The sequence below is a fragment of the Homo sapiens genome, chromosome 15 (assembly GCF_000001405.40).
Source record: "Homo sapiens chromosome 15, GRCh38.p14 Primary Assembly".
Taxonomy (NCBI): Eukaryota; Metazoa; Chordata; class Mammalia; order Primates; family Hominidae; genus Homo; species Homo sapiens.
This window is the reverse complement of record NC_000015.10, coordinates 44,912,534-44,934,767: the sequence shown is the minus strand read 5'-3', so window position 1 is coordinate 44,934,767 and position 22,234 is coordinate 44,912,534. Positions and strand designations below refer to the sequence as shown.

The 22,234-nt window shown below is 39.3% G+C and overlaps 3 pseudogenes; 2 read left to right on the top strand and 1 right to left on the bottom strand.

The window, feature by feature from the left end:
• LOC100420928 (telomere repeat binding bouquet formation protein 2 pseudogene) lies at positions 4,146 to 20,148 on the top strand (annotated as a pseudogene).
• On the top strand, positions 7,065 to 7,163 carry RNU6-1108P (RNA, U6 small nuclear 1108, pseudogene; annotated as a pseudogene).
• On the bottom strand, positions 13,731 to 14,811 carry LOC100129830 (5-azacytidine induced 2 pseudogene; annotated as a pseudogene).

The following is a 22,234-nucleotide window of genomic DNA, read 5'->3' as shown; positions in this document are numbered from 1 at the left end:
GACTTTAGGGGGCTCCTAAAGGTAAATGAGCTCATGTGGGTGGGGCCCTCATCCAATAGGACAGGTGTCTTTATGAGAAGACAGAGGCACCAGGGATGCAGTAACCAGAGACAAGGCCACGTGAGGACGGAGTGAGACAGGCGGATCATGAGGTCAGGAGATTGAGACCATCCTGGCTAACACGGTGAAACCCCGTCTCTACTAAAAAAAAAAAAAATACAAAAAAATTAGCTGGGCGTAGTGGCCGGCCCTGTAGTCCCAACAACTCAGGAGGCTGAGGCAGGAAATGGCATGAACCCAGGAGGCGGAGCTTGCAGTGAGTAGAGATCTCACCACTGCACTCCAGCCTGGGGGACAGAGCGAGACTCTGTTGCAAAAAAAAAAAAAAAAAAAAAAAGTAATAAACCAGTGTGAGGTGCTGTGGAAAGGAAAGGTGATCAAGTATAGGCTGGAGTGTTGATAAACACCTGTGGTTGGATAGCAAAAATGTATTTCTAGCTTAGCCAGCTGAAATCAAAGTGCCTCTAGTGGTCTTCACTAATAGGTATAAAGAAAATAAAAAAGGCATTCTTCAGATCAGTAGCTGCAAATCAAGTACCAGAGGATGGTTGATTGGCTAAAGCAACAAAACCACATCTGGAAAAGAGCAGCTGCAACTGGAGTCACCATCTGAATAATTTATGATAATCCACTATCATTCTCCAATATCGGTCTGTCTTCTCCATGGACCAAATTGGTGCATTGAACAGGAATGTGGTGCAATCATCACCCCTGTATCCTGATCGTAGCACTGATTTCTGCAGTCCTTCCAGAATGCAGTATTGCTTGTGGCTAATTATTTTTGTAGAAAGAGCAGCACTTCTAGGGGCTTCTCCTTGACCTTGCCTACCATAATAGCCCTTACTCCACGGGTTGGAAACCTGTGGATTTGGGGATTCTGCCAGTTGCTGAGACTGTCTCTTCCAATTATGAATTCCAGAATTAAGGAAATGAGTGCAGGTTGGGTTCAGGGAGACAGTCGGTCAACTATGAGACAGATCTGAGCTAAAAGTCCATCAATGACCTGACCTGCATAAAGACCTATTCTGACTGATGGGCCACAGGTAGTATTCATCTTCAGGAATTAGTGTCAGTTTAGAGCCAGCAATCCCTTAAAAGTCTTATTACTTCCCTTTCTTCAAGGCACTCATTGTGACAAAGGGCTGTGGGTGCCTTTGGGGATGGCTGGGAGGAAAATCAGCATTACAAGTTTCTGACATTGTATTGTGTTCCTTCCTCAAGGGAACCTTTCCTCTTAATTCAAAGGAAAGAATTCTATAAACTGGTTCTAGTTTGTGAATTGATTGTGGAGCCGTAACTCTCTTTTGATGATTTAAGTCAGACTTCTGTTCACTGGACCTAGATCTTTCTGACTGCACAGGCTAATGAGAATTTAGTAGACTGGCTGCTGTGGTTTGGATATGGTTTGTTTGCCGCCACCAAAATACATGTTGAAATTTGATCTTCAAGGTGAGGTGTTGGGAGGTGGGGCCTAGTGGCAGGTGTTGGGTCATAGATGGTTTGATGCTGTTCTCACAGCAGTGAGTGAGTCCTTGCTCTGGTGAGGTGGGATTCATTCTTTCAGGAATGCATTAGTTTCTTCAAGAGTGGGTTGTTATGAAAACAGGATGCCCCTTGGTTTTTCTCTCTTCCCTTTTGACCTTCTCTTCCATGTTCTGACATAGCATGTGACCCCCACCAGAAGATGAGCAGATGCCAGTGCCATGTCCCACTTCCCAACCTGCAGAACAACTAGCTAAATAAACTTCTTTTCTTTACAAATGATCCAGTCTCAGGTATTCTATCATAACTACACAAAAAAGGTGCTAAAACTCCGGCCATCTATTTCTTTCCTAGAACCATCCTGATAACCAGTCAACTCCAGAGATCTCTCTGAGTCAGTCTACTCTGATCACTTCTTTCGTTCCACTGTCCATTGTGGTGACCACACCCACCTTGTCTTTGACAATCAAGTGTTGCCACTTGGCACCTCATTGCATTTAGGGATCTTAAGTTTGGTGGTTGCAGTTCCCACTGTCATTTCTGACCTACAGAGAAGAATGACCACAGAGATCTTAAGGATGCTAGGGTTCCCCTCACAAATTCATTTCTAACAGCTGTGGTGAAACGTGTGTCCTCTGAATTCCCTGATCATGGGTGAGCCGGCCTTACATGATAAATCCACTCTGTCTTCCCATACCTCTAAGTCTTTAACAATCTTTCTCCCATAGTACACCAAGACAGTCTGGCATTTCAACTTCACTTAGTATAGGCTACCTTTGGGCTCACATTTTAGCCAACCAACCAAACAAAGCCCTTCCTAACTCCTGGAGCTAGGAATGCTGCATCCAGGATCTCTGCTTAGTTGACCCATGTCAATACATTTAGCCTAATCCAACTTTATATTGCTTCTGCCTTGATCCCACTTAATGTCTACATAAATTGGGATAATGGGTGTTTTTTGTTGTTTTTTTTTTTTTGTGTTCTTTTTGAGATGGAGTCTCGCTTTGTCGCCCAGGCTGGAGTGCAGTGGCGCGATCTCGGCTCACTGCAAGCTCTGACTCGCAGGTTCATGCCACTCTCCTGCCTCAGCCTCCCAAGTAGCTGGAACTACAGGTGCCCGCCACCACGCTCGGCTAATTTTTTGTATTTTTTAGTAGAGACGGGGGTTTCACCATGTTAGCCAGGATGGTCTCGATCTCCTGACCTCGTGATCCACCCGCCTCGGCCTCCCAAAGTGCTGGGATTACAGGCGTGAGCCACCGCGCCTGGCCGGGATAATGTTATTAAAATAGGTTCTGGTGAGACTCAGCAGTGTCTTTCAAGTTAACTACCTCACAGGGGGGCATTGCATGTTCTTCAGGCAAAGGGAGGTACCCTCCTCAGCTGGGTGCTGAAGGGCTGCTTTGACCAGGGGGTGGAGAGGAGAGAACTCGGTAAATTTAGTTTGAGGTCCACTCTTTCACTGGGGGCTTGCCTGTGTTTCCCCATTTCAATCTTCAGGGTTCAATTTCTTCTCAATCAATGTTCTAATATTAGCAGATACCCTGGTCACTACGATTACCTTTAAAAAATATTGCTGCAGGCTGGGCGCCGTGGCTCACGCCTGTAACCCCAGCACTTTGGGAGGCCGAGGCGGGCGGATCACGAAGTCAGGAGATCAAGACCATCCTGGCAAACACGGTGAAACCCCGTCTCTACTAAAAATACAAAAAATTAGCTGGGCGTGGTGGCGGGTTCCTGTAGTCCCTGCCATACCTGCGCTAGGGTCTGTGTTCTCCAAAACTTTGAATAACAACCCTACGCCATGAATCAGTCAGAGGCCGAATACCATGAATTAGATCCCTGTAATTGTTCTTCATCCTCACTGCCACTAACTTAGTAGCACATTAATTCCCTTTTGGCCGGGGCTATCAAAGTAACTTCCTAAGCCGTTACTGTGCCTTGAATCTGTTCCCTGAGATCCCCCTTCGCATGGCTGTCAGATTTCGTTTACAAACCAGACATCAGATCAGGGCCCTACCACCCTCCTTTCCCCACTTCCTCCTGCCCCCGCGATTTCCTACAGATTTAGATCGTGGCTGTGCCTGCCTTGTTTATTTCCCAGTTTTTCTCATGCCTTCGGTAGCCCAGTCAACCCGAAATGCCATTATTGTGCCTTCATGCGTGCCTTTTTCTTGTAATGCTTTTCTTATCTCCATCTATAGAAAATATGTTGCTTTCTATATGTGAAGGTTTCTCTGATTGCATGCGCACTCTTCACCTCAGGATTAATTGATCCCTCTTTATAGCAATGACCATGGATAAGCCCCATAGGCTGCTAGCTCTATCCACTGTTGATGCCCAGTGAACACGACCGTTTTATATCAAGTTTCCTAATTCATATGGTCATTAACCAACCCTGTAAAGCTGAGATGTGCCAGATATAGGCCCCCAGAAAGTAGTATCTTATGCCATATGTTTTTCCTTCCTTGCCAGAAAAGGACAGCATACATGTATGCTTCAATGTAATTGTCTCCCTACTTCCAGTTATTTATTTATTCTTTTGAAAGTTTGAATACATTCTTGTTTCTTTCATAACCTAAAATATTTCCTTTCTTTCTCCTAGAATATATCAGAGTCTTGATTACATAGAGGATAATGCCACAGGTTTTCATGCCTACTATCTCCCTGCAGTAGCTAATGCCGAAATAAAAAACTCGGTGGCTTTGGGTCGTTTCATTCTTCCTCCTGCGTGCCTGCAAAAAGGTTAGCAAAGATCATTCAGCCAATCCCTGTCAGACAGCCAAATCCAGCTAATCTCTGTTAAACAGCCAAATTCAACTGTACTTATTTTACTCTCAGTCACATATTTTTGAATTTTGTATCTATTTAACATAAGTGGAAAAAGCATGGACTTTGGATCAGATTGCCTTGGGTGTATATCCTGACTTTGTTTATGTATTGTTTATTCATACATTCATTGAGCTCTTCCTGTGTGCCAGGTTTCAACCTGGGTAGGTGCTGGGGATTCAGTGGAGAATAAGACAGACGCAGATCTTAACTTCACAGGCTATGATCTGATGCTTACTACTTTTGTGATCTTGTAGCAAGTTACTTCTCTGAAGTTGTTTTGAGGATAAAATGAGATAATAGGCCGGGCGCGGTAGGGCGTGCCTGTAATCCCAGCACTTTGGGAAACTGAGGGGAGCGGATCTCTTGAGCCCAGGAATTCAAGACTAGCCTGGGCAACAGGGTAACATGGTGAGACCCTGTCTCTATTTATTTTAATAATTTCAAATTGTTTTTTAAAATAAGATAATGTATTAAGGTATCTGATGTGGTAAGCGTTTAATAAATGTATTCTTTGCTAGTTTTGAATCCCTTCATTATTTTTCTAATTTTTTCTTCTGATATTTAAAGATTGGTTATGATAATAAATCCATTGATTCGCATTTTTAAAATGCGAATTTTAAAATTCCTTGAGCCCAGGAATTTGAGGCTGCAGTGTACCATGATCTCGCCTGTGAATAGCCACTGCATTCCAGCCTGGGCAACAAGCTGAGACCCCCTTCTCTAAAAAAATTAATTGAATAATTAAGTGAGTAGAATTAATTTTAGGAATATATTTTATTTAACCTAATATATCTAAAATATTATCATGTCAATATATAATCTATAAAAACTGAGATACCCTACATTTTTTTGATACTAAGTCTTCAAAATCCTGTATTTATTTTATACTTACAGCACCTCTCAATTTGGATTAACCACACATTTCCAGTGCTCAGTACCTACATGTAGCTAGTGGCTGCCATACTGGACAGCAAAAGTCTAGGGTAATATTACCTTTTTTGTCCTTTTGGCTACTGTGAAAACTTTTGAGATCATTGAGTTTGGATGACGACATTGTTGTTTGACATACTGACCATTGTAGAATTCCTGTACTACCATGTTTACTAGACATATTGTTCATCCACCCCTTTTTTATATCTATATCTATATATCTGTATCTGTATCAATATCTGTAGCTATATAGACATTAGATATACATCTAATATATATCTAATGCATTATATAGATACATATGCATTATTATATATAGAGATATATATATGTAGATGTATATCTACATGTGTATACATATACATCTAATGTATATCTAATGATACAGATATAGATATTGATGTATATCTAATGTATATGTAGATACAAATATAGATATAAGAGTGGATGAACATATCTCAATTATATATATACATCTAATGTATATAGAGATACAGATATAGATATAGATATATTCTAGCAGGAAACGTCTACAACAATGATTAGCAAAGTGTATTAGAATCATCTGGAGAGTTTGTTAGAAATGCAAATTCCAGAGCTCCTCCTCAATGATCTGATTCAATAGGAATCTGCATTTTAACAAGTGTGTTATGTGATTTTGTTGCAAATAGAATAACACTGGCCTAGAAATTTCAGACTTTAAGCAAAATTCAGAAGATTCCAAAAAAAAAATATTGGATTTGTTTTTCTCACCACAGAAATAAGAAGAAAAATTGGTAGTTTTATTTGAGAACAAGACCAACATTTTCTGATAGAAAAGGTAAGAGTAAATTAAGGTACTTGATTAGAATCTACAGTTTCAACATTTTCTGAAAGCAAAGTTATCTTTAAAATGTTTACTTGTGACATGTTAGCACCAATGAGTCAGTTTAAGAGATTGATTTATTTATTTTGAGACGGAGTCTCACTCTGTCTCCTGGGCTGGAGTGTAGCAACGCGATCTCGGCTCACTGCAAACTTTGCCTTCTGGGTTCAAGCGATTCTCCTGCCTCAGCCTCCCAAGTAGCTGGGATTATGGGCATGTGCCACCACACCCGGCTAATTTTTTTATTTTTAGTAGAGATGGGGTTTCACCATGTTGGCCAGGCTGGTCTCGAACTCCGGGCCTTAAGTGATCCCCCCACCTTGACCAAAGTGCTGTAATCCCAAAGTGCTGGGATTACAGGCGTGAGCCACTGTGCCCGGCACAGATTAAGAAATTTAAAGGGCATGCTGTTATTGAATATTATTTTGTTTGACTTTGTTTTATAGTAGTACATTAGTAAAATTGAGGTTATTTTGTATAAATAAAATTATTCCTATAAGAAACTTGAAAATTTGCTTCTGTTAGTAATAGGAAGAGAATAACAGGTGCATAGTATTTACCAGTTCTTTACTGCCAGTGTAGATTCTGATTGGTTAATTTCTGTGACATGCTGTTTGTTCAATGTTTTGAATAACACCCCTCAATAAATGTGTACAAGAGTCTGTCTGAACCTATTCTGGTTCAGGGGCTGCCTGATTAACGAAAAAAAAGAAAAAAATAGTGTACAATACTGGAAAAATAGCTGTTTTGTAGCTTTTGCCATCCTGCCTCAGATTTACTTATGCTTTTAACTTACTTCAGAATCTTTAAGTAATAGCCAAATTTGGGAACAATTGAGCATTGAAACTAATAATGACAATAATGGATTATAATATGTTAGGTAAAAAGAATCCATGTGCTTGCTTCGGCAGCACACATACTAAAATTGGAACAATACAGAGATTAGCATGGCCCCTGTGCAAAGACGACAAGCAAATTCGTGAAGCATTCCATACGTGTATATGATACTCCAAAAGCAGACATAAAGAAAAAAGGAAGGACAGAAGGAAGAAAGGAAAGAAGGAAGAAAATAAGGAAGATAAGGGTGGGAGAAGGGAAATTTTCCTTTACAAAAATAGCAGCTAGTAAATATAGAAAGAAAGATAAAATAGAAAAATCACCATTTTAAAAACCCTCAATATAATAATTGATTTAGATAAGGTCATTAATGGATTCTAAACCTATGATCTCAAATTATCACCCACAGATTGATTATTAGTTACAAAGTTAAACAGCATATCTTTACAATGGAGCGATCTGGCAGGCACCATTTAACTAACTTAGCAAACAGCATCATCAATATTGGAGCAACCTTTCATTATGTTCAGTCAGATATGATATAATAAATACACAATATTATCTGTGTAGTATTCTTGTTCAAAACATTTAACCCGAATTTAATTATGAGTTAACATTCAGACAAATCCAGAATATGGACCATACCACAAGACAATTAACTGACTTGGACTCTAACATCAGTTAATGTCATAAAATACAAAAAAAGCAATAGGAGCATAGTAGATTAAGAGACATAAAAAAGAGGTATAAAAGACATTTGGAGAGCAATTGGGAAAATTTAACAATGAACTGTATAATGGGTGATACTGTATTACATTTTATTTTCTTAAGTGTGATAGTGGTGTTGTAAAGATAAAACAATGTATATTTTTAGAAAACACATGCCAGGTATTAGAGAGTGGAAATGTCATATCTGCAAATGTTTTCAAGTGGTTCCACAAAAATAAAAAGAGAGAGGAGGCACTCAAGGTGTCGGAAATGTTAACACTTTGTGAATCTAGGTGAAAGGTATATGGTATTTATTATACTATTCTTTTTTTTTTTTTTTTTTTTGAGACAGAGTCTTGTTCTGTCACCAGGATGGAGTGAAGTGGCAGGATCTCAGCTTACTGCGACCTCCACCTCCTGGGTTGAAGCGATTCTCCTGCCTCAGCCTCCCAAGTAGCTGGGATTACAGGCACCCGCCACCACACCCAGCTACTTTTTGTATTTTTAGTAGAGACGGGGTTTCACCATGTTGGCCAGGATGGTCTCAATCTCCTGACCTCGTGATCTGCCCACCTTGGCCTCCCAAAGTGCTGGGATTACAGGCGTGAGCCACTGTGCCTGGCCTATTGTACTATTCTTTAACTTTGTGGTAAGTTTGAAATTTTTCACAATAAAGAGTTAGGGAGAAAATCTTTCATTTTTATTTTTTCAAACTTGAAACCCACAGCCATATCATATAGAAAACCTTTACATTATGTCCAAAATCAGGCTATCAACTTATATATTTTATATTTCTGTCATTAATTTGTTTTTTCTTCCCAAGCCATCATCATCTGAAAATAATAGTTCTTTCAGTCTTTTTGCCTAGGAGGTAATAGTATGTTGTACTAAAGACTGAAATATCTAATCCTTGACTTTTCACAGTGTTTGCAGGAACGTGAGCAGTAATGCAATGGTTATTATTTGGTGGTAATTATTGACTCTAGCAGAACTTTAGAGTTTAAAGATCATTAATTTCATCATTTAGCTTTATACATGAGAAAACTAAGGTAAAGAAAATATAATGACCCATTTTAGTACACATTGGCAAAGTGGAGCCAAATTTTCTCAGCTCTAACCCAATCCAATGTTTTTTCTACTAAAAAATTACTAAAACGTGCTTGTATGGACGTTGACTCTAGAAGTTATATTATTACATGATAAAAGAGTTTGTCAATTCTTTCAAAATATTGGTTGATATGAGTATTAGCCAATTATAATAATGTAACCATAGAATATATACGTGGAAGGTATTCATTGAATGGCAATAACTAGGGTAAATCTGGGGAGCATTACAATTGTTTGGAGTGGATTTAAGTTTGTATTTAAATATAGAAACTTCTTAATGGTGGCTGGGCGCGGTGACTCTCGCCTATAATCCTGGCACTTTGGGAGGCTGAGGTGGGCCGATTGCCTGAGCTTGGGAGTTCAAAACCAGCCTGGGCAACATGGCAAAACCCCGTCTCTACTAAAAATACAAAAAATTAGCCAGATGTGGTGGCTGGCGCCTGTAGTCTCAACTAGTCGAGAGGCTGAGGCAGGAGAATTGCTTGAACTTGGGAGGCGGAGGTTGCAGTGAGCCGAGATTGTGCCACTGTACTCCAGCCTGGGTGACAGAGCAAGACTCTCTCTCAAAAAAATAAATAAATAAATAAAAATTTAAAAAAAGAAACTTCTTACTGGTATATAAAATAAATAGATTATGTGATAGGTACCAGTATCTAAGTTGCTTTCACAGAATATTTAGAAAAAGCTTAACATACATTTAGTCATTTTTTATCTTTACAGCTAAATACGTCAATGTCCTTTTGAAGGAGAAACATAATTTGTTCAGCTTACTTTATATTTTTGATTTGTAGCTCGCAGGAATCCTTAAGTCAAGGATTTTAAGAAAGTTTAAATTAGTAGCAAGTTTTTTTGTTTCCTTATTTTTGTGACTAAAAGGTAATATAACCACATTAGAGGAAATTTCAATAATTGAAAGGAGAATAAAATCAGTCAAAGTTTTACTTATCTGACATAACCACAGCTGGTATATTTAAAATTCTGGTCTTCTTTATGTGTCTCCAAAAATATATAGTATAATTACATGTTTGTGTGGACAAAATTTTGTAAATTTTCTCCACAAAGCTAGACTGAGTGGACTTAAATGTGTAAATATTTTTATGGCTTTTGATATATATATTTCCAGTTTATTTTTCCTTTTTAAAAACATTACTGATTGGATCACTGGTATGACGATTTTTTTAAATGTGATTTATTTTTCTATCCACAGCATGATGAAGTAACACCAAATGAAATAAAGACCCTTAGGGAAAACAGTGAACTAGCAACATAGCACAAAAAAGAATTATCCGAAAGGTATTGAATTCATAAACTTCATTGATATTCAATTCAATGTAGAAATCTGTGACCACTGATTTTGTGCTTATCTCATTTAATTTTCAGTTTTCCTATGAGATAGATAGCGTTATAAGTCATTCCCATTATACAAAAAAAGAGATCTATGATTAGAAAGATAAGCAATTTCCCCAAAGTCATATAAACTTTGTTAAGTAGGGGAGAAGCAGGATTTCAATGAGTCAGAGCCCATTATTTAAATGGTAGTCATTAAATACTATACCAGGTATTTACTATGTAGAATACTATACTATCTCATAGTATAGCACACTATACTGTCTCTGCAGAAAGGAGACAAGGATTTTATGTATGTTATGATAACAGTTAATACATTATTTAAAAATTATATGTATCTGTGTGTGAAAACCCAATCATCATGCTTATGAACTACAAAATAATCTTAAAATATATTTTTTACTTGGAAGGAAATACACTACATATTAGCAGTAATTTTATTAGGATGAAAAGTGATGAGTGATTTCCCCTCTTCTTTCCAAATTGCTTGTAATATATTACATTGGTTTAAGAAATTAAATTTAGCCTGGGCATTGTAGCACATGCTTGTAATCTCAGCACTTAGGGAGGCTGAAGCTGGATGACCGCTTGAGCCCAGGAATTTGAGACCAGTCTGGGCAGCATAGGGATACCCCATCTCTATAAAAAATTTAAAATACTAGCTGGGCATAGTGGCACATACCTGTAGTCCCAGCTATTTGGAGGCTGAGGTGGGAGGATCACTTGAGCCCAGGAGGTTGAGACCGCAGTGAGCCGTGATCACGCCACTGCACTCTAGCCTGGGTGACAGAACAATACTCTGTCTCAAAGAAAAACAAGAAATTAACTTAAAAAGACAAACAAACATGGCCTTGCCGTTATATTAGGACCAGTTTATGAGAGGCCTTTTCATTGCAGGTCCTAGTTATACATGATCTAGCCCTAGTTCCATATTTTCCAATTCAGTTGGTTTTCAAATATTCATAGGGAACATTGGTTCTTCAGAAGTCTGTTTTATCCCTCCAAACCTGTGGCCGGAGTCAACCTAAAAGTGGAGGCAGGGGAATCCCCACCACGGAGTGCCCCAAACTGTCCCAAGTTGGGGCCAGTTGGGATTCTAAAGAAAGAACCACTAGCTAGAGTAATCAGTCTAAAGCATCTATTGAGGGAACTTGCAGAGTATCACACCAATCCTTGCAATGGACAAGATATAAGGGGTGTTCTACCTAGGTATATCCACAGTGAGGGGGTCTGGGTATGGAGTTTATATGAGGGTTTAAGGAATCTGGCTCAGGGCTGAGGCCAATTTCATTCAGTGTTTTGAGCAGCAACCTAGATACCTTTATCAGTGCCTGGAAATGTTTAAGGTCCTGGTTTGAGTTCAAGCCTGATGGGAAAACCCTGCACTGGGCTGTCTCACAGAGCAGTCAAAGCCCTCTGTGATTTTTGGTCAGGACACAGAAAGCAAGCCAGGAGTGGAATCAGGGGAGGGGAGGATGGGACTGGGGTACCCTACAGTCTGGTATTTAGCTGCTGTAATATAAATGATCAAATAGTAGTTATCTTTCTTCAAAATAAAAAGTAATGATGTAATTTATATAATTTTTTCAAGTTTTTCTCCCATAAGGGCTAATTTCCTTAATATACAAAGAGGTATTAGAAATCTGGGAAAAATATGTCCAATCCAAAAACAACAGAAATGGACAAAGGATATGAATAAACCCTAGGTAGGTGTCTACTTAGAGCCTTTTCTCTGTGGAAACACCAGAGGGTGCAGTGTGAACACAGATAAAATATACCCTCAATTTACCTGCTGAAGCATTTGTTAGCATAGTACTAGGGACGTTGATTTTTTTTACATCATACAAACTTGATGTATGAAAAATCAGGCAGTACAGAATTAGTATAAAATCCTAATTTCTCCCAAATCCTCTCCCAGTGATAACCTTCGTTTTTTGTTTTTAATTGAGACAGAATCTTAGTCTGTTGCCCAGGCTGGAGTGCAGTGGCGTGATCTCGGCTCACTGCAACCTCTGCCTCCCGGGTTCAACCAATTCTCATGCCTCGGCCTCTCGAGCAGCTGGGACTATGCCACCCCACCACACCAGCTAATTGTTTGTATTTTTAGTAGAGATGGGGTTTGGCCGTGTTTTCCAGGCTGGTCTCAAATTCCTGGCCTCAAGTGATCTACCTGCTTCAGCCTCCCAAAGTGGCGGGATTACAGGCATAAACCACCTGTGGCTGGCCGAAAAATCTTATTTGATATTATGATGTGTACTGGCAGCATATGGCATTTCATTTTGTTTGTTTAACCTTTTTTTTTTTTTTTTTTGAGACAAAAGCTCACTCTGACCCCCAGGGCTGGGTGCAGTGACGTTATTTCAGTTCACTGCAGCCTCAACCTCCCAGGTTGAAGCGAGAGATCCTCCCTCCTCAGCCTCCCAAAATGCCACTAGGATTACAGGCATGAGCCACCACACCTGGCCTAGAATTTATTACTTTTATGACACCTCCATGAACATCTTTTTAAAAGTAAATCTTGCTCTACTTTTTTGATAGTTTTCTTCATGTAAATTCTCAGATGTGGAAATTATGGTATAAAGAGGCGTTTTTCTTCTTTCTTAAACACCTTATGTTTATTTATTTATTTACTTAATTTGTGTGTGTGTGTGTGTGTGTGTGTGTGTGTGAGAGAGAGAGAGAGAGAGAGACAGGATCTTGCTGTGTCACCCAAGCTGCAGTGAGGTAGCATGATCATATGCTCACTGCAACCTGGAACTCCCGGGCTCAAGCAATCCTCCCACCTCAGCCTGCTGAGTAGCTAGGACCGCAGATGTGGGCCACCACGCCTGGCTAATTAACAAAAAAAAAAAAAATTTTTTTTTTGATACAGGGTCTCGCTCTGTCACCCAGGCTGGAGTACAGTGGCACAATCTTGGCTCACCGTAACCTCTCAACTTCTACCTCCTGGGTTCAAACAATTTTTGTGCCTCAGCCTCCTGAGTAGCTGGGACTACAGGTGTGTACCACCACGCCTGGACAACTTTTTTTGGTATTTTTAATGGAAACATGTTTTTGCCATGTTGGCCAGGCTGGTCTCAAACTCCTGGCCTCAAGCAATCCACCCTCCTAGGCCTCCCAAAGTGCTAGGATTACAGGTGTGCCCCAATTCACCCAGCCTAATTAAATTATTTTTTGTCAAGATGGCATCTCACTATGTTGCTGAGGCTGGTCTTGAACTTCTGGGCCCAAGGTATTTATTAATTAGTATGGTAGCAGGCCAGGCATGGTGGCTCACACCTGTCATCCCAGCACTTTGGAAGGCTGAGGCATGAGGATAGCTTGGGGCCAGGAGTTCGAGACCAGTCGGAGCAATATAGAGAGACCCAGTCTATACAAAAGATTAAAAAAAAAATTAACTGGATGTAATGGTGTACTCCTGTAGTCCTAGCTACTTGGGAGGCTGGGGCAGGAGGATTGCTTAAGCCCAGGAGTTGAGGTTTGCAGTGAGCTATCTATGGTCATTCCACTGTGCTTCAACCAAGGTGAAAGAGTGAGGCCATGTATCAAAAAAAAAAAAAATTAGTAGCATATATCTGTTTCTTAGAATATGGAGCTGGAGGGTATTCTTTCATACTGGAAATAAACTACATAATATCATACAGTATGTTCAAATGCATATACTAAAGAACTCTACAAAATTTTAATCAAAATCTACGTTTAGTTTGTTAAGAATTTCTTGAGAGAACCACTGAGAGACAGTGTCCTTTTGATCAAATGATGAATCTCTTCAGAGTTAAGTCTTATAAAGGAAATTTTGACTATGTTGATCCAAGTAATGCAGTAGTGGCACATTTGTTAAAAGGCAAAATTTTACTTTTAATTTTCCTAAATGCTGTCTCACTTGAGTCAGGAGGGATTGGGAATACTCAAAATGATCTTCCAGAGAATTTCTGCCATAAGAGTGTGTGCCCTCATTAGGAATGGCTCTCTCATTATCTGTCCGTGATTGGAGGACTGCTTTCTCTGATAAAACCTTTATATCTCCTGGTAAAGGGGAAGATGTAGTATAAAAAAGAACTTTGCCATTTGGTCAGGGAAGGGGATGTCTTGTGTATGTTGCAGTAAAATTCATCATGTGCAGTTTTGTGCTGTCTTTCCAAGGGTCTTCAATGCATCTTACTGAGGTGCAGGCTTTCTTGATTGCAGTTGGGGTTTCCAGTTTTCTTAATAGTTCAGCTAGCACTTGAGTCACCAGATATAAATTAGACATTTATCTCTTCAGTTGCCAGTATACATTCTGTGTATTATCACTTGAAGTTCTTACTCTTCAGAGATCTCTGCTCTTCAAGATTGTCTTCCTCATACAGATAGGTTTGTTTGGTTTTTGAGTAGTTCTATTTTGAGATCGTTATATTCTTTCCTCATCAGCTCTTGTTCCAAACCTTGGATCTTCAGGTTACAGCTTAACATTTCCACCTCCCAGTTTGATGAAGGTGGATTGAAATTCCTCATCACCAGCTGAGTTTCCACCTCTGTCCTTAGCTAGAGTTCTACTTCTTTAGATTGCATCTGTTTATTCAATACTTTTAAAGATTCAGAGTTGTGTTTACTCATTTTATCCAATTTGCTCTTTAAATCATGTCTATCAATGCAAATCTTTCTTTCTTTTTTTTTTTTTTTTTTGAGACAGAGTCTCACCCTGTCACCCAGGCTGGAGTGCAGTGGGCAATCTCGGCTCACTACAAGCTCCGCCTTCCGGGTTCACGCCATCCTCCTGCCTCAGCCTCCCGAGTAGCTGGGACTACAGGCGCCTGCCACCATGCCGGCTAATTTTTTATGTTTTTAGTAGAGATGGGGTATCACTGTGTTAGCCAGGATGGTCTCGATCTCCTGATCTTGTGATCCGCCCGCCTCAGCCTCCTAAAGTGCTGGGATTACAGGTGTGAGCCACCGCGCCGGGCCACAAATCTTTCAATATGCATAATAGGCCTTATTTACTTGTTGCTATTCCACAAAACTTGTTTCTTCATCTAATTGAGCTCCTATAAGCTTTTCTTCCAAAAATCTAATTCTTTTCTTTATCATAAGATTTCTCTTTCTCTGAATCCTTAAGTCCTTTTTTGATGTCTTCATATGGGCAAATTGGGAAGCAACAGAAGCATCTCCTCAATATGTTGAAATTGGAGTTGCTGTGGTTTTCTCATAATTTAGCATACAGGTATCACCTTCTATCAGTGCATCCATGAGAGCCTGAAACCAGGCTACTTAGGGCCGCCATGGAGTTTCCATTCCTTAATGTTTAGAAACAGCCAAAAACAGATCGGGTTGCCAGGGATCACCACGGGTTCCGATTTCCTTGAAGATACCTCCACTTTGCGAGCGAAAGCAGCCACTCTGAGTTATTGAATTGAGAGTATTGGTCTTATATCTACCCATTTGGAATTCCTTAACATTCTAAGAATATTTTAATCGATCATCTTGGCTCTTCAGGGTGCCTAGTCATATCATTTGTTAATAAATGAAAGTATTCCGGCTGGGCGCGGTGGCTCACGCCTGTAATCCCAGCACTTTGGGAGGCCGAGGCGGGCAGATCACGAGGTCAGGAGATCGAGACTATCCTGGCTAACACGGTGAAACCCCGCCTCTACTAAAAATACAAAAAATTATCCGGGCGTGGTTGCGGACGCCTGTAGTCCCAGCTACTCGGGAGGCTGAGGCAGGAGAAGGCGTGACCCCAGGAGGCGGAGGTTGCAGTGAGCCAAGATCGCGCCACTGCACTCCAACCTGGGCGACAGAGCGAAACTTCGTCTCAAAAAAAAAAAAAGAAGAGCAATGATAAATATTAAAATCAGCCATAGATAAGGACATATGCCTACATTTGGACATGTAACAGTGCTGTTTTATGTATTATTGCTGGATAAAGAAACAGTCTGATTTTTCACAAAGACATAACAGTGTAACACAAAAACAAATTTTAAAAAACTTAAAAAATTAGTCAGAATTTTAAAAGTATAATTTCAACCTGTGGCAATACTCTGTTGTGAATTTTATTGGTAGAACTAAAGTAAAAATTTTTAATCTTTTTATTTTCTCAATTGAATAAATTTCCTTTTTCATATTTCTGCATTAAATAATAGCAATTTCTTGGAAGAAATCTTCATTTTTAGAGATAATGTATTTGTTTTTAATTTTGATGTGAAATAACAAGTACTTCTCTTTTTTATCATGCCCATCTGCTTGCACAGGAAGGAATAACTTCTTGTTGGAAAAAATCAGCTTGTGTTAATTAAACATTTAGTGACTAAGAGTTCTAATTTAGGCTGTGGTATCAATTTTTGTGACTAAAACTTGACTATCTCTTCCTCAGGATGGGTTAGGTTCAACTCATTGACTATTAAATTTCTGAAAATAGAATTAATTGTGGTCTTTAGTTATAGAAAGTACACGTTGGGGCAATAGCCTAGAACAGGGTTTCTTAGTTTTGGCACTACTGGCATTTTAGGCCAGATAATTCTTCGTTAGGGCGAGGGTAGGTGAGTGTCAGTCCTGTGCATTATAGAATATTTACCCTGGCCTGGCCGGGCGCAGTGGCTCACGCCTGTAATCCCAGCACTTTGGGAGGCCGAGGCGGGCAGATCACGAGGTCAGGAGATGGAGACCATCCTGGCTAACACAGTGAAACCCCGTCTCTACTAAAAATACAAAAAAAAATTAGCCGGGCGTGGTGGCAGGTGCCTGTAGTCCCAGCTACTTGGGAGGCTGAGGCAGGAGAATGGTGTGAACCCAGAAGGCGGAGCTTGCAGTGAGCGGAGATCGCGCCACTGCACTCCAGCCTGGGCAACAGAGCCAGACTCCATCTCAAAAAAAAAAAAAAAAAGAATATTTACCCTGGCCTCTGCCCACTAGATACCAATAGCATTACCCATCTCTCCCCCAGTTGTGACAACCAAAAATGTTCCTAGACATTGCCAGATATCCCCTAAAACATCAAAAGATTTTTTGTTTTGTTTTCAGCTTATGACTGGAATTAAATTCCCTCAGACTAATATCACTTATTATCACCCATGATAAGAAGTTCTGATTGACATTTACATATGTGATTAATAAGAGTAAGAAAGCAATTACTAATAATTATAAATACTTTGCTGGCAACAATTTTCAAATCAAAAGGTTCTGATAATTAAAAGTTTGGAAATCTATAATAGATGCTGTACTAGTTATTGATGTAAATCAAAGTGCTCTGAAACTTAGCAGCTTAAAACAATGAACATTTGTTTATTTATTTATTATAGAGATGAGGTCTCACTGTGTTGCCCAAGCTGGGCTCAAACTCCTGGGCTCAAGCAATCCTCCTGCCTTGGCCTCCCAAGGTGCTGGGATTCCAGGTACGAGCCACTGCACCTGACCCAGTGAACATTTATTATTTCAGTTTCTAAGGTCAGAAATCCAGGAGTATCCTAGCTGGGTACTTCTGTCTCATAGCCTTTTGTAAGGTTGCAGTCAAGTTGTCAGCTGGAGTGCAGTCATTCCAAGGCACAACTGGGACTGGAAAATCCACTTCAAACCTCATTCAAGTGGTTATTGGCAGATGTTGGGTCTTTGCTGGATTTTGGCCAAAGGCTTCAACTCTTCACCAAATGGGCCTCTCCATAAGGACCATCCACAGCATGGTAGGTAGTTTGCTTCCCTCAGAGTGAAAAATCCAAGAATAAGAAAGAGCATGCCCAAGAAGAAAAGCCATAGTCTTTTTTACATCCGACTCTCAGAAGTGACATTGCATCACTTCTGTCATATTGGTTATACAGATCAAACCAAGTACAAAATCGTAGTGGACTGTGAATATCAGGAGGTGGGGATCAGTTGGGGCCACTGGGTGGCTGGCTATCACAGATGCATGTGGGATTGTCCACCAGGAGTGCCTTTCTTAGGAATTCCCTTCTCCCTCCCAATTTATCTGGATAACACAGGAACAGACATTTTTTTAAACATGAGCTTGCTCCCCATGCTCAACATTTGCTTTGAGAGTGAATGCCTGATTTGAACTGGGCTAATTGCAGATCTTCTTCTGGATTTTTAGATGTGGAACATAGCAAATCAAGTCATTCTCATTTAGGTGATCAAAACTCTAAGATGTAAAACTTAGGAGCTGTCATTGGCCGTATTTTCTACCATGAAAAGAAAGCCAACTTGCCTCCAAAAAGGAAAATGAGGCTAATACATAGAGAAAAACTTGAGACCAAGGCTGCAGTGAGGTGTGATAGTGCCACTGCACTCCAGCATGGGCAACAAAATAAGACCCTGTCAAAACACACACACACACACACGAAAAAAAACCCTAAAAACTTCAGACTGGTGAGAGCGATCATAGCTGGTTCTAATTAACTCTGAGTCCCAGCAATATGCCTGCCTTCCTCACAGCTCGGATGATACGGCAATGTCCTTCCAGTAAACTCCCCTTTTGTTTAAGTTAGTTTAAATTAGGTTTCTGTCCATTTCATCCTAAAGTCCTTAACTATTCAAAAATGCTACAATAATTTATTTCTGATGCCATAAATGTCCTATCCTTCTTATACTTACAGGAATATTTTTTACTAATGTAGTAATTTTTAAATTCCTATCCTCACACATCTTCAGAGGTTTCACACAGTGTATATGTGCAATTAACTAAACACTAATAGTGATAGTTTTCTGCACTAGCTTATTTTACACAGATACATAGCCATTAGGCAAAGATTATGAACTCATAGAGTATAGTGCTTCAGGAGCTCCTAAAGTAAATGACCATGATTAAAATATCTTTAAAGATACTAGTCAATTTTATATGGTTGGATTCATAGTTAATTTATTAACTGTGAATTTATTTTTTATTAAAAATGATTAAACAATATGCATGGATATCCTGTTGATCTTGATGGTATGGTGTTCTAAATTCAGTCATCCTTGAGCTTTATCAGAATTTTTTCCACACAATATTTACTTTTAAATTAGATTTCAATTTTAGTAAAAGCCACAAACACTTGTGTTACACATAAAATGTAATCATTTAAATAGTAAGCAACTGATATCAAGTTAATATTGCTTAGTCATAGAGTCCTTAAGCTGTCTCCATTCTAGGCAGCATTTTTTATATGACTCATATCTGTTTTGGATAACTAATTGACATCAAAATTACTCTCACCCATTATCTTTGTTGAATGAGCAGTAACATCAATTTTTCATTAATTTTTTTGTTAAAAGAATCCTATTCCAGTGTTAGCAGTGCAGGAAAGTGTTGCCTGCTGAAACAGGGAAGATGAACTGTTTATACTGTTAGTAGCTAGTTGGATGGATAGTTCTAAGTGATTACCCTCTAAGCTAGATACACTTCCCAGTTATTTTGGTCTCTTTTACGTTCTAGCCCCAACCTAGACTTCACAATCTCAATAGTTAAAGCGACTTTAATCCGCATTTTAATCTTTTAAAAGGTGGCAGAAAGTTGTGGGAGGGGAAGAGGAGGTGTTCCCTGATAATTATAAGGTTTCATGGAGAATCTTCTTACTAGTATTATTTCTTCTTTTTACTTATTTTCTAAAAACATTCTTTAGAAGTCTTAACTCTAATAAATCAAAGACACTGAAAAGCAAATAGTATGAGAGGGTTTCAAGTATATATCTGTATATATTTATTTTATTTTATTTTGTAGATTATATATCAATTGATGCCATGAAGAAATTCCTTGGGGAGTTACATGACTTCATTGCTGGAAACTCGGGATATTTGGCATATCATGTTCAAAATGAAATTAATATGTCTGCTATAAAAAACAAATTGAAGAGGAAATATTAAATTAAATTGTAAATACCTTGCATTTATTTTCTATAAAATATTATCAAGATGTGCATAATGTAAAATGCTCCCTTTTGGTACTGGGGGATAGAGAAATGGGAAATAATTTTTCTGTTTCTCAAAATATGTCTTTAGGAAATTCAGAATCATTTTGGTTCTGTGTTTTGACATTTGGGCTGGATTTTTTCCCCTAGCTTATAACAATATGTTCAAATATTCTCAATGCACAGTTGTTAAGGAGTAATTGTCATTAAAATACATTTCATGAGAAGTCTCAATCACAAACTCTCCATCTCTCAATCCTCCTCCTCCTCCTCTCTCTCTCTCTTTCTCTTTCTCACTTTCTCTTTTCTCTCTCTCTTTCTCTACTCCCCTTCTCTCTCCCCTGTCTCTTTCTGTCTGTTGAATGCTCTTTTGGCTTTAACATTCTATTAATTATATTTTTTCTAGATTGAATACTGTGAATGCTAAGTTTTATTATTCTGGTCATCTTATTTTGATTTTAAAAATTAGGATGCGGCCAGGCGCAGTGGCTTACGCCTGTAATCCCAGCACTTTGGGAGGCCGAGGCGGGCGGATCACGAGGTCAGGAGATCAAGACTATCCTGGGTAACACGGTGAAACCCCGTCTCTACTAAACAAAAATACATGGTGGCGGGCGCCTGTAGTCCCAGCTACTCAGGAGGCCGAGGCAGGAGAATGGCATGAACCTGGGAGGCAGAGCTTGCAGTGAGCCAAGATCGCACCACTGTACTCCAGCCTGGGCGACAGAGTGAGACTCCATTTCAAAAAAAAAAAAAAAAAATAGGATGCTAGTGGAGTTCTGAATTACTGTCTCTGACTTGAAACATAATGGAGAAAAACATTTTAATAATTCATATATCATGTTGGATGGTTTCTGATAATATTTCTTTTTTTTTCTTTTTTATTTTTATTATACTTTAAGTTTTAGGGTACCTGTGCACAACGTGCAGGTTTCAAAAGTGACTTAACATAAACAGACTATGAGTGTTATGTCTTGTTAGATGAACCTGCAAGTCACCTTAGAATCACAGTTTTAGAAAGGAACTTAAAGAACGAGTCCCGTTCACTTATTGTTTTTAATGAGGAAATAAGGACCTTGAGAAGATGTCTTACTTAGGGGGACTAACTGGGGGCCAAAACAGAATTGGAACACAACCATCTTGATTTTCTAGGCAAGTACCTCCCCACTCTCCCAAATAGCAAATTCTGTAGCTTATGTGCCAGGCACAATACAACTGCAGATCCGCAAAGCAGACCCAGAAACAAGCCAACATGCTTGCCTTTTAAATAAGCTGAAATAGTGAGGGAGAAGAAAAGGAAAAATCAGTTAGGCAGACCACTAAGGCTAGTCCTCTGAGAAAGAGCCTGAAAAAATCACAGCTACAGGCATAAATAGAGTAGCCTGGGGAAAAACCAAATGGCAGCTGCACTGATAAGAAAGCAAGGCCCAGCATAGAGCCTTTGTTCTTTGTGTGATTAGCAGGCTCTCAGGAAAAAATTTCCTCCCCTTTTCAGGCATTTATGTGGTGAGCTCCGTGGGAACTTGCACACGGAGGTGGGGAGCTTACCTAAAACAGACCCACAGTTACACAAACAAGAGAAGCTGCACTTTGTGTTTACCCAAGACATACACAGATAAGGAGAGTTACATACACAGCTTCATAGATAAGGGAAGTTACACAAACAGCTACAGAGTTGAGGGGAGTTTCACATAAAAGCTTTTGGATTCAACTGTAAAAACAGCAGCCCACTCGGGTCCCTTCTCCACTGTGGAGAGCTTTCTTTCTTTTGCTTATAAAAGTTTTGCTCCAACCTCACCCTTGTGTCCAGGCTCCTTAATTTTCTTGGTTGTGAGACAATGAGCTCAGATAACACCTCAGACTACAAGACCATTGACCCTAGACAGTTTCATTAGTATTGAGTTGTAGTGATTTCAAGAAGGCAGTTTGTTATCTTTATTCATATGGCCATGCTATATAGAGTCTGACTGGTTTATTACATTTTTGTGACTTATAAATGACAGTGTTATTTGTGAAGCTATCATCTTAGAACTGTACTTCTTCCAAGCAAGTGAATACCAGCTATAGAATTATCTAAAGAAAATGCACACTTTTTTAGTGCTTGGACCATTTAGGTATATGTGGGCCCTGGCCCTGGCCCTTCTCCCATGACATAAATTTCATAAGACAAAATTTTAACACTACTTTTGGCATCAGCATTTGAGAATTTATATTT